The 11749-nt window shown below is 50.4% G+C and overlaps 1 protein-coding gene across 7 annotated transcripts in view, besides 3 other annotated features; it reads right to left on the reverse strand.

Moving 5' to 3' along the window:
• Positions 1–10119, reverse strand: part of CD99L2 (CD99 molecule like 2) — a 132333-nt gene extending 122214 nt beyond the window's left edge. For all 7 annotated transcript variants that reach the window (NM_134445.4, NM_134446.4, NM_001184808.2 and 4 more), the window contains exon 1: positions 9973–10119. In NM_134445.4, coding sequence (NP_604394.1) covers positions 9973–10039 — 67 coding nt within the window. In that variant the 5' untranslated portion in view covers positions 10040–10119. The remainder of the gene's footprint in view (positions 1–9972) is intronic.
• Positions 1760–2260: an enhancer, noted in NCBI's record as "H3K4me1 hESC enhancer chrX:150058782-150059282 (GRCh37/hg19 assembly coordinates)". NCBI's record gives its function as "activates a minimal SCP1, AML or CMV promoter by ChIP-STARR-seq in naive H9 embryonic stem cells {active_cell/tissue: H9 hESC(naive)}" and the evidence as "EXISTENCE:reporter gene assay evidence [ECO:0000049][PMID:30033119]".
• Positions 2261–2761: an enhancer, noted in NCBI's record as "H3K4me1 hESC enhancer chrX:150059283-150059783 (GRCh37/hg19 assembly coordinates)". NCBI's record gives its function as "activates a minimal SCP1, AML or CMV promoter by ChIP-STARR-seq in naive H9 embryonic stem cells {active_cell/tissue: H9 hESC(naive)}" and the evidence as "EXISTENCE:reporter gene assay evidence [ECO:0000049][PMID:30033119]".
• Positions 9794–10403: a silencer, noted in NCBI's record as "silent region_21054". NCBI's record gives its function as "represses an Ori minimal core promoter by ATAC-STARR-seq in GM12878 lymphoblastoid cells {active_cell/tissue: GM12878}" and the evidence as "EXISTENCE:reporter gene assay evidence [ECO:0000049][PMID:35858748]".

Raw genomic sequence — 11749 nt, forward strand, 5'->3', positions numbered from 1 at the left:
AAAAAAGTATTTAATGCCACTGAACTGTGTGCCTTAAAATGGTTAAAATGGTAAATGTTATGTGTATTTTACCACAATTTTTAAAAGGTTTCTAAGCCCATCTGTTTTCTACCTTGTCTACTGGAATGTTCATGCTTAGAACCTGAAGGGGCTATGTAAGAAGTTCAAATACAGTTGCCTTGCTATAAGGAAGCTCAAACCAGAGAGGCCACATTTGGGTGTTCCAGTGGACAGCCCCAGCTAAGCCCATCCTTTATGACATGTGAGTAAAAAAAAACCTCCAGATGATTCTAGCCCCCAGCCATTTGAGTCCTCCTAGCTGAGGTCCTAGATACAGTAGAGCAGAGACAGCCATCCTTGCTGCATTATCCTAATTCCCAACCTATGGAGTCTAAGAGCATAGTAAACAGTTGTTTCAAGCCACTAATGTGTGGAGGTTCATTATGCAGCAATAGGCGACAGCAACGGCCTTCAACCTGGGAGAAAGGGGGCAAGTGTCCTCTTGGCAGATAGCACTACAGCAATAATGGAATCCTTGTGTGTCTTTTAAGATACATGTGACTATGTATAGTTGCTTCCAGGTCTGTCTGGACTTTAATCTCCTTGAGGGCAGGTGCATGTTTTACCCTGCTCTGTTTCACCCACAGTGCCCCCACACGGGTCCTGGCTGCTCATTCAGGATAAGGCCTGCTGCCTGCCATCTGCCCTTCAGATCCACTCTCTGTGTCCCAGGCCACTGACCGGTATGAGCTTCATCAAAGGGCTTCTTTGTCCTCTGGCCTCCCTGGGGTTAGCCCATGGGTTTCCTTAGTATCTCAAGTGCCATTCACATCTCAGTTTTTTTTCCCCCACATTGCCCTTAGGCTGAAAGAAATACCCAATATAGTTCCACCATCCCAGGCTAGTTGAAGCAGCAATAAAAAAAAAAAAACAAAAGTAGAAGGTCAAAATGAGCCCCGGCTGTGCCTGGGCACTATTTTGGTGGAAATAAATTCCACACTGCAGTAATACTTCCTGTGGAGAGTATCACCTCTAATTTAGAAAATAATCCCAAATACAACCACCTAACAATGACAGCTAGATGTTTTCTAGCTTCTCCTCTACACAGATGTTCACTGAACAGGGGTGTCATATCTATAGGATTCAACTACAGCAGTTTTCAAAGATATTTCTGCTGTAAAGCAGCAGAACGTTCTGACATCTTGTGAGAAGCCCGAGGTAGAAAACTAATAAAAACAAAGCTCAAAACTGGTTGAAGTGGAGTTGTTCTGCCTATGGAGTAGCCATTCTTTCATTCTTTTACTTTCTTAATAAACTTGCTAGCCGGGCGCGGTGGCTCACGCCTGTAATCCCAGCACTTTGGGAGGCCGAGGCGGGCGGATCACAAGGTCAGGAGATCGAGACCATCCTGGCTAACACGGTGAAACCCCGTCTCTACTAAAAATACAAAAAAATTAGCTGGGCGTGGAGGTGGGCGCCTGTAGTCCCAGCTACTCGGGAGGCTGAGGCAGGAGAATGGCATGAACCCGGGAGGCGGAGTTTGCAGTGAGCCGAGATCGCACCACTGCACTCCAGACTGGGCGAGAGCGAGACTCCGTCTCAAAATAAATAAATAAATAAATAAATAAATAAATAAACTTGCTTTCAGGCTGGGCACAGTGGCTCACGCCTGTAATCCCAGCACTTTGTGAGGCCATGACAGGTGGATCACCTGAGGTCAGGAGTTCAAGACCAGCCTGGCCAACATGGTGAAACCCCGTCTCTACTGAAAATACAAAAATTAGCTGGGCGAGGTGGCAGGCGCCTGTAATCCCGGCTCCTCAGGAGGCTGAGGCAGGAGAATCATTTGAACCCGGGAGGCGGAGGTTGCAGTGAGTCGAGATTGCGCCATTGCACTCCAGCCTGGGTGACAAGAGCAAAACTCTGTCTCAAAAAATAATAATATAAATAAAATAAAAATAAACTTGCTTTCAAAAAACAAACCAACAAACAAAAAACAACACTGGTTGAAGTGGGAGTGGGGGATTCAGGTGCACCCATTCCTGTCTGGTCCTCTCCCCACACCCCCGCCCCCACCTTGAGAGAGAGGGAATGGACACAATTAGCTGAAGCCACAGCACTGGTAAGGGCAGCCAGGAGAAAGGCAGGCTGGCAGCACACTCCTCCTCGTCCTCAGCGAAGGGGCAAGTGCGGCCTGCACAAATCAGAAACCCTCTGTCTGCTGGCCCCAGGCTGCATCCTGCTTCAAGTGCGGCCATCAGGACTGGAGGAGAAGGGTGGGAAAGGCCTCTGGAGACAGCCAGTGGCCCCCACTGCAGGTGGCCTGCAACATGGGCCATGCTCCAAAGCAGAAGTGCAGGCTCCCATCCCCTTGTAAAGCAGTTTGGAATCAAATGCAAGCGCCAGAAATCCAGCTACCTTCCTGGGCCCTCAGATATGCTTCTAAACATTCATTGCTGCACCAAAAACATCATTACAACCCAATTTTCTGCACATTTATTTTAAAATGCTGAACTTAGAGCATTCTAGGGATTGATTTTAAAATGGTAAAACTGAAACAATGTAAGGAAATATCACATACTAGTTTTCCAAACAAGGAAGAGGATGCTAGTATCTAACTCTTAGCTTCTTACTAGCATCCTGTTTTGGCTATAACAAAATATACTGTATTCAACAGTTTAAAACAATACCCATTTATTATCTCACAGTTCTAGAGATAAAAGTCCAACCCAGGTCTCATTGGGCTAAACTCAAGGTGTGGGCAGGGCTGTGTTCCTTCTGGAGGCTTTAGAGAAAAATCTGTTCCCTGTCTTTTCCAGCTTCTAGAGGCTGTGTGGTCCTTGGTTCCTGGCCCCTTGCTCCATCTTCAAAGCCAGCAATGGCCAGGCGAGTCCTTCCCATATGACATGGCTCTAATCCCCGACTCTTCTACCTCCCTCTTCTGTATTTAAAGGACCCGGGTGATTACATTGGGTCCACCTGGATAATCCAGGATAATAATATTTTAAGGTCAGCAGATTGGCGGCCTGAATTCCATCGGCTACCTTACTGAATTTCCCTTGCCATGGAGCCTAACATATTCACAGGTTCCAGAGATCAGGACGTGGATGTCTTTGGGGGCTCATTATTATTCTTTCTACCACAGCCTCCCACCCCACTCCATGTGGAACATGTGCCTACATGAAAGATTTTCCAGCCCGTTCTTGATAGGTGTCTACGATGACGTTAAGCTTTTGCATGCAAACCAACATTCACCAGTCATGGACCTAGCCTCAGGGAGGGTCCAGTCTGGATTGGGGGACAGGAACCCCTTGAGCCAGTCCTCCCAGGCACCCAAGAGCAGAAGAGGAATAACATGCAAAGTACAAAACCTAAGAGTGAGCCAGGCGTGGTGGCTCACTTTGGGAGCTGGGTAATCCCAGCACTTTGGGAGGCTGAGGCAGGTGGATCACCTGAGGTCGAGAGTTGGAGACCAGCCTGACCAACATGGAGAAACCCCATCTCTACTAAAAATACAAAAAATTAGCCGGGTGTGGTGGCACATGCCTGTAGTTCCAGCTACTCGGGAGGCTGAGGCAGGAGAATTGCTTGAACCCAGGAGGCAGAGGTTGCAGTGAGCCAAGATCGCGCCATTGCACTCCAGCCTGGGCAACAAGACTGAAACTCCATCTCGAAGGAAAAAAATAATAAAAATAAATAAATAAATAAACCCACCTAAGAGTGAACACACAGCAGAAAAAGCAAAACACCAGGTGGGGAAAAGAACAGAACAGGAGGCCGGGCACGGTGGCTCACGCCTGTAATCCCAGCACTTTGGGAGGCCGAGGCAGGCGGATCACGAGGTCAGGAGATTGAGACCATCCTGGCTAACACGGTGAAACCTCGCCTCTACTACAAATACAAAAAATTAGCCAGGTGTGGTGACAGGCACCTGTAGTCCCAGCTACTAGGGAGGCTGAGGCAGGAGAATGGCGTGAACCCGGGAGGCGGAGCTTGCAGTGAGCCGAGATCGCGCCACTGCACTCCAACCTGGGCGACAGAGCGAGACTCTGTCTCAAAAAAAAAAAAAAAAAAAAAAAAAAGAACAGAACAGGAAAGTCGACGTATCTGGAAGGTATCTCTCCTAAACTCACAAGAATGAAACCCAGCTCCTCCCAACACTCCCTTCTGAGCAGACAAAATGGGCCTAATCAGCATCATCTCCACTGAAGGCAACTTCAGGCCCTTCCTCAATGCCTACTGATGCTGACTCCTGGATGGTTTCTGTGCACGTGTTTAAAAACAAACACAAGCTGGGCGCGGTGGTTCACGCCTGTAATCCCAGCACTTTGGGAGGCCAAGGCAGGTGGAACACCCGAGGTCAGGAGTTTGAGACCAGCCTGGCCAACATGGCGAAACCCCGTCTCTACTAAAAATACAAAAAAATTAGCCGGGTGTGATGGCGGACTCCTGTAATCCCAGCTACTCAGTAGGCTGAGGCAGGAGAATCGCTTGAACCTGGGAGGTGGAGGTTGCAGTGAGATCGCACTATTGCACTCCCATCTCAAAAAAAAACAAAGAAACAAACAACACATTTGAGATACCCTGTGTCCAAAATAATGGAAGGGATAGGGATGTGACCTATGACAGCAAGGAAAAGGCTGAAAACCAGTCAAAGCAGGTAAGACTAACAGGCAGAGTCCCCAGACTTTCTGTCAGACGAGCGCAGCAACTGACTAGTGCCCATAAGGGCAACCCTGGAGCCATCTAGGAAAGGGAAGTTCTCCCTCTCCCTATCATGCCACTGTTCCAGGGACCACTCCTGAACTCGGGCAGGCAGGGTTAAGCATCTCTGGGCCAACTCTGCAGATGCTTTGTGGCCCATCTGGCTCAGCCCAATACCCCAAGTCAGCCCATGAGGCTTCTGCTTGGATCCCAGCCTGGCATCTCAGCACTGCCAGCACACGGGGCCCACTCTGCTCTTACGCCCCCCGAACCAAGTTCAAGGACCTTGAAAACAACCCCAATCCAGGGGTAACATGTTGCCACTTCTCACACTTATTCTGCTTGGACTATACAGTGAATTTTTTTTAATGGCAATGTAATTCCTATACAATTCACCCTTTTAAAGTGTACAAGTCAGTACATAGTGAATTTTTAAATGAAGATGCAGTTCCCATACAACTCAGCCCTTTTTTTTGTTTTGAGACAGAGTCTCGCTCTGTCGCCCAGACTGGAGTGCAGTGGCATGATCTAAGCTTACTGCAGCCTCTGCCTCCCGGATTCAAGAGATTCTCATGCTTTAGCCTCCCGAGTAGCTGGGACTACAAGCGTGTACCACCATGCCCAGCTAATTTTTGTATTTTTAGTAGAGACGGGGTTTCACCATGTTGGCCAGGCTGGTATCAAACTCCTGACCTCAGCTGATCCACCCGCCTCAGCCTCCCAACGAGCTGGGTTTACAGGCATGAGCCACTGCGCCTGGCCACAATTCAGCCTTTTTAAAGTGTACAATTCATGGTTTTTAGTACATTCACATATTTTGCAATCATAAACTCTATCTAGTTCCAGAACATTGTCATCATCCCAAACAGAAACCCCTTGCCCATTAAGCAGACACTCCCCATCCCCCTTCATCCCAGCTGCTGGCAACCACTAATCTACTTTCTGTCTCTATGGATTTGCCAACTCTGGACATTTTGTATAAATGATGCCTTTCAAGGTTTGCATCACATATTTTTAAAATGTGGCTTGGAATGTCTTGCTCACTTGGAGCCAGGTGCCGTGCTAAATGCTTTATACGTTTCTACTCATTTAATCCTAATAACCACCCCATGAGGTAGATAGTGTTGTTATCCCTATTTCACAGATGAGGAAACCGTAGCACCGAGCAGTTAGGCAAATGGGACAGAGTCATAGCAGCACTGGGCAGGTACGCTTTAAAGCCTACACTCCATGTGTAAGCTGGACCTCTCTTTAAGGGAGCAGGCACTTGGTGGCTTGCCAACATGCTCATCAAGTTTATTCTTTTATTCTTTTGTTTTGTGTGTGTGTGTGTGTGTGTGTGTGTGTGTTTTAAGACAGGGTCTCACTCTGTCACCCAGGCTGAAGTGCAGTGGTGCGATCTTGGCTCATTGCAACCTCTGCCTCCCAGGCTCAAGCAATCCTCCCACCTCAGCCTCCCGAGTAGCTGGGACTACAGGCGCATGCCACCACGCCTGGCTAATTTTTGTATTTTTTGTAGAGATGGGGCTCTTGTTATGTTACCCAGGCTGGTCTCGAACTCCTGAGCTCAAGTAATCTGGCCACCTCAGCCTCCCAAAGTGCTGAGATTACAGGCATGAGCCACTGCGCCCGGCCCCCTCATCATGCTTATTCTTGACCACTTCTCACATTCCTATTACCTGCATGATCCCTGAAGGTATCTGTGTTCATGCCTTCTGCTCTGGTTATGCAGGTAAACCTGAGTTCAAATCCAATTCAGCTAAGTGTTAAGTTCCTAAACCTCTCTGGGCCCCATATTTTTCATCTGAGAAGTGGGTTACCAAACAGTTACCTGTAAGACTCTATGTAAAAGGGCCACTATGGACATCAGGAGGTGATATGGGTCACAGTGCCAACAGGTCGGGGTAATGTGGCGAGGCAGAGGGCCTGGCATATAGGTGTTCCAGAAATGAAGCTCCTGTTAAGATTACTACCCATCCACATCACTGACAGTCTTCTCCTTGCTGCTCAAAAGAACAGCTTCCCATTTCTGGAGGCACATACAGGCAGCATACCTGTCCTCAGAGGACTTTTTGGAACTAGTAAAATACACAGCAGACTGAAAAGCCCTCTGTAATTAGAACAAAGATAACTTGTTAACCGCCCTTTAAACTCCTGGGAGCCTAAAGCCAGCCTCTACTTGCTACTTGCTAGAGCCTGGAAGGATTTCTCAGATTATGCAGAGTTGCTTCTGTGTGCTTTCTGAGGTCTGCCAGGGTTACTCAGCCACATCCCACTACTGAGGACCAGGACCAAGAATAAAGTGGCTCTCAGCAGGCCTACCCAAAATGCCACTCCAGGGCCCAAGAAGAGCCAACTGGTGCCTAACTGAGGCACTTGCTTTGTGTTTGTCATTTTGACGCAGCAGCTCTGAGACTACCAGGATCCCAGAGAAGACCACCAATGCAAAAATCGTATTATCTTATTTTGGACAAAAGATCCAGAAAACTGTTGGCTGGGCACGGTGGCTCACACCTGTAATCCCAGCACTTTGGGAGGCCGAGGCAGGTGGATCATGAGGTCACGGGATAGAGACCATCCTGGCTAACATGGTGAAACTCTGTCTGTACTAAAAATACAAAAAGTTAGCCGGTGTGGTGGCTGGCGCCTGTAGTCCCAGCTACTCAGGAGGTTGACGCAGGAGAATGGCGTGAACCCAGGAGGTGGAGCTTGTAGTGAGCCGAGATCGCGCCACTGCACTCTAGTCTGGGCGACATAGCAAGACTCTGTTTCCAAAAAAAAAAAAAAAAAAAAGATCCAGAAAACTGGGCCCTTATCTTGAAACCAAAGCTGCTTCTGGTTTCAGTTAATTAATTTAAACAATAAGCTGGGCGTGGTGGCTCACGCCTGTAATCCCAGAACTTTGGGAGGCCGAGGCGGGCGGATCACGAGGTCAGGAGTTCGAGACCAGCCTGGCCAACACAGTGAAACCCCATCTCTACTAAAAATACAAAAATTAGCCGGGCATGGTGGCGCATGCCTGTAGTCCCAGCTACTTGGGAGCCTGAGGCAGGAGAATTGCTTGAACCCAGGAGGCGAAGGTTGCGGTGAGCCGAGATCAGGCCACTGCACTCCAGCCTGAGCAACAGAGCTAGACTCCGTCTCAAAAAAATTAATTAATTAATTAAAAATAATTTAAACAATAAAAGATAACTGGGTAGCAGTCTTATCTGGGTTGAATCCTGGCTCTATGTCTTCTGAGCTATATGACCAGGGCCCCCTCATCTGAAAGCCAGTGATAATATCTAGCCTGCAAAATTGTCGAGGCAATTTAAAGCAATATATGTGAAGTGCCTGGCACACAGGAAGAACTCAGGAGATGGTAGCTGGTAGCAAGGCTGTAGATCTAAGCCTGGTCCCCTCAAAACACCTTTGTGATTGTCAGGCATCATATGGATGATCAAACAAGTTCGGGGAACTCATTTTCCCATGGTCCCTAAGTAGTCGAAGTGGGGTACCTCCAGGTGCAAGGGCATATGCCTAGGGCTTAAAGGCAGTGACTGCGCAGTCAGACAAGCCTTGCATCAAATCATAATTCTGGCAATCGCTGTGTGACCTAAGGCAAGTTACTTCACCTCTCTGTGCCTCTGTTTCCTCATCTATAAAACAGATGTACTGTTTCTGTCTCCTCTACCACCTCTTAAATCAACAATTGTAACGTGCAAATCTGAGACCCAATCATTTCTATTCCCCACCTTCTCAACGGGCACACCATGTTGAAGACTTTCAGAAGACAGCTTTGAAGGGAGTATCATTTTTCTAACTTTTTTTGTGCTTCTACTTTCAAGATTTCCATGTCATTAGATGCAAGTCAATCAAATGATCATACATTTTCCTACAAATGCATTGTAAACAAAATAAAAATTTTATCCCAAAGGGAAAATGAAAAAGAAAATTCAACAACTCTTTACCCCTGTAACTTCCTTTATTTTTCTCCATAGCACTGACAATATATATAGATTTCAATGTTGGGCTTGTTTTCTGCCCGGACCAGGATGTAAGCTCCATGAAGACAGTCTCAATTTTGTTCACTACCGCATCATCAGTTCCTAGAACAGAGCCTGGCACCTCTGCAGAATGTTAAATGGCTCTTCGTGAATCAACTCCAGGTGGGTTGCCCACATGAAAAACATTTCTGCATCTTTTGCAAAAGTGGCTTGGCTAGTACCATCCACTGTTTTCCAGTGTTCCTTTATGTGACATAAATCTTACTAGAACTCAGTACTAGGACAAAGTGTGTGTGTGTGTGTGTGTGTGTGTGTGTTTCCTGAGCTCACATATTTTCCACCAGCTGGGTTCGCTTCTATTGTCAGGAAGCTTGGAGCATAATTCACGTTCAATTACAGTGTTTCCCTTAATCCCTTTTTCTGATGGGGACATAGGATATAAATAAGTGTAAGAAGATTCTGTTGGTACATGTTTAAGACCCTATTTTTAACCACAGACTGCATTTATTCTACTAAGATGCTTCTCAAACTTGAATGTGCCAGAGAATCACCCGCGGATCTAGTTGAAATGCAGAATCAGACTCAGTAGGTCGGGGGCGGGGCGTGAGATGCTGCAGTTCTTACAAGCTCCCAGGTGATGCCTATGCGGCTGGGCCCTGGACCACATTTTGAGTAGCAGAGGGTCTAAGAAACGTGCTTCCTTGATTCAGCGGGATTTCTCTCTCCTGCTCCTTGGCAAAACATGACCAAAGTCTCAAAAACTGAAGCGGACGGCAGAAGCACCTAGAGAGCTGGTTAGACCTACGCCTCGCTGACCCCCCCCCCCCCCCCCCACAGCCCATGCCCGCTGTGATCCCGATGAAAGGGGCTAGGAATCCACCTAGGAAGTTCCCCAGGTGCTTCTGCTGTCGGTGGCCTCGCAGCAAATTTCGAAAATGACTGCTCTCTTCAAGGTTTTCTCAAAGGTAAACTCTTGGGGACAGCTGTTGTCACCAGTGGTACACCTGCTCGTTCAGGATTTTAGGGGGCCCATCCCGCTGTTTCCAGCCCAGCGTCAGGAGGGGACCCACCCCTCCTCTCCGGCTACTCCGACCGCGGCGGAGTCAACCCCCACGGGCCCGGGGCTCGGACCCCCGCCGCTCCGCCTCGCACAGCCGGGCCGGCCGGTGGCAGCCACCGCAGGCCCGAGAGGCGGGGACCGTGCCGCTCATGCGCAGAGCGACCCCTGGGCCCACAAGGCGGGGTCCCCGCGCGGTCCCCGCGCGCCCCCCGCCCGCCTTACCTCGCTGGACCAGGGTGGCCAAGGAGAAAGCGAGGCAGACAAGGAACGCCGAGCGCCAGGCCACCATGGCTGGGAGCAGGCGGAGGGCCCCGGAGGAGCACAGTTAGCGCGAGAGCGCCCGAAGGGGAGGCCGAGGAGGAGCGGGAGGAGGAGCCCCGCCGCCTCTGCAGGGTCCCGCCCAAAGCCCGCGCGCGCGCGCGGCGCGGCCCCGGGAAGATGGAGGTCGGGCGCGCTAGAGAGCCGGCGCCTGAGGGCGCCTGGGCTGGGGTTAGGCCGGGGGGCGGGGCGAGGCTGCAGTATCGGGGGCGGGGCCGCGTTCTGGAGGCGGGGCTCCGGGCGAGGGGCGTGGCCTGCGGGCACCCGGTGGGTGGGGAGGCCTGGGTTGGGTTGGGCTGGGTCCAGCGGCAGCGCGCGGTCCGCAGACCCTGTCCCACCTCGGTCCTCGAGACCGAAGTCTCGGAGGTGGCCCCGCGGACCTGGAGCAGTGAGTCACCAGTGCCGGGGAGCGGGAGGCGGCAGCGCCGGTGGGCGCCGATTTCCTCCCGGGTGACCTTGAGAAGGGCTCTTCCCCTTCTGGCCTTGGTGTTCTCCCGGTGAAGGGTTGTTCCCTTGGGGCCCCTCCAGACACCGTCCAGCACGGAGCCCCGCACTCTGTCCCCACCCGCTGTTCCCTGCAGGAGTGAAACCCTGGCCGGAGACTGAAGAAAAGGACCGTTTTCGTGACTGGCTGCGGTCAACAAGCAGTGACACGTCTCGAGAAAACGAGGCCGGGGGCGCCCGGGTGGGCGACAGGGGAGGATGGGGGCGTCCCGGAGCCGAAGCGCCGCGGGCTCGGGAGACTGGGGGTAGGGACTGGGTCAGCTCTCCCGAGGCTTTGATGAATGCGCTGAAAGTGCAAGTTCATATCTGCAGAGTCGATCTCAAAAACGTGCTTAATGACCGACAAACGCGCTGCAGTCCTTTCCCATGAACCCCCGCAAACGGAGTCCGTCTCCCAGACCCGAAGAAATCAGATTCCGATACGATACTGTGCCGACCAGCAAAATGCCCGCTGCAGCAGTTGATGGGAACGCTCCCTAGAAGAGCCCCAGCTGCAACCGGCTCTCGAAGACAAAGAGGAAGCGCTACTGCTCTCCGGAGTGGTAGCGTGAGCCTGTCCCTGCCATTATGCGGCACCGGCTGCCCAGGGCCACATCCTCCTTAGAGGGCGGCTACTACCACCTCCCCTCAATATCCATTCGGCAGCTTTCCTGTGCCCCCAACCCAGCCCTCGCTGCCATAGGCACCCCCCTCAGTGGCTCCCACCAACCCCTAAGGAACAGTGGGGTGTGGGGTCTCCCTGAGATGGAGCCGAAATCTCCCGTGTGGCTTACATCCATTGCCCTGAATCTTAGGGCTGCAGAAACAAAACAGCATATGAGGAGTGGATCTTCCCAGGCTCAGGGCATTAATTACTCTATGAATGGAACATTATTCCATTCTAGCTGTAGAATTAACAGAAATAGCTGGTAGTTATTGAACACACACTATACACATGGCATATTCCAGGCATTTTACCCTTAATTTTTATTCCTCACAATGCCTTATGTATCATCACCTATTAACGAGGGAAAAGCAGCAAAATGGAGGTTCCTTGAGGTTGGGGAGTTAGCCAGGTCTAGTCTCATGTGTCAAAGGGGGAGGGTACCACTAGGAACCCCAGCTGGTGAATGGCTAAGAATGTGTGCTGTAGAGCCAGACCGGGTACAAATCCTGGCTAAACCCAACAAGGTTGTGC

Source organism: Homo sapiens, chromosome X (genome assembly GCF_000001405.40).
Source record: "Homo sapiens chromosome X, GRCh38.p14 Primary Assembly".
Classification (NCBI taxonomy): domain Eukaryota; kingdom Metazoa; phylum Chordata; class Mammalia; order Primates; family Hominidae; genus Homo; species Homo sapiens.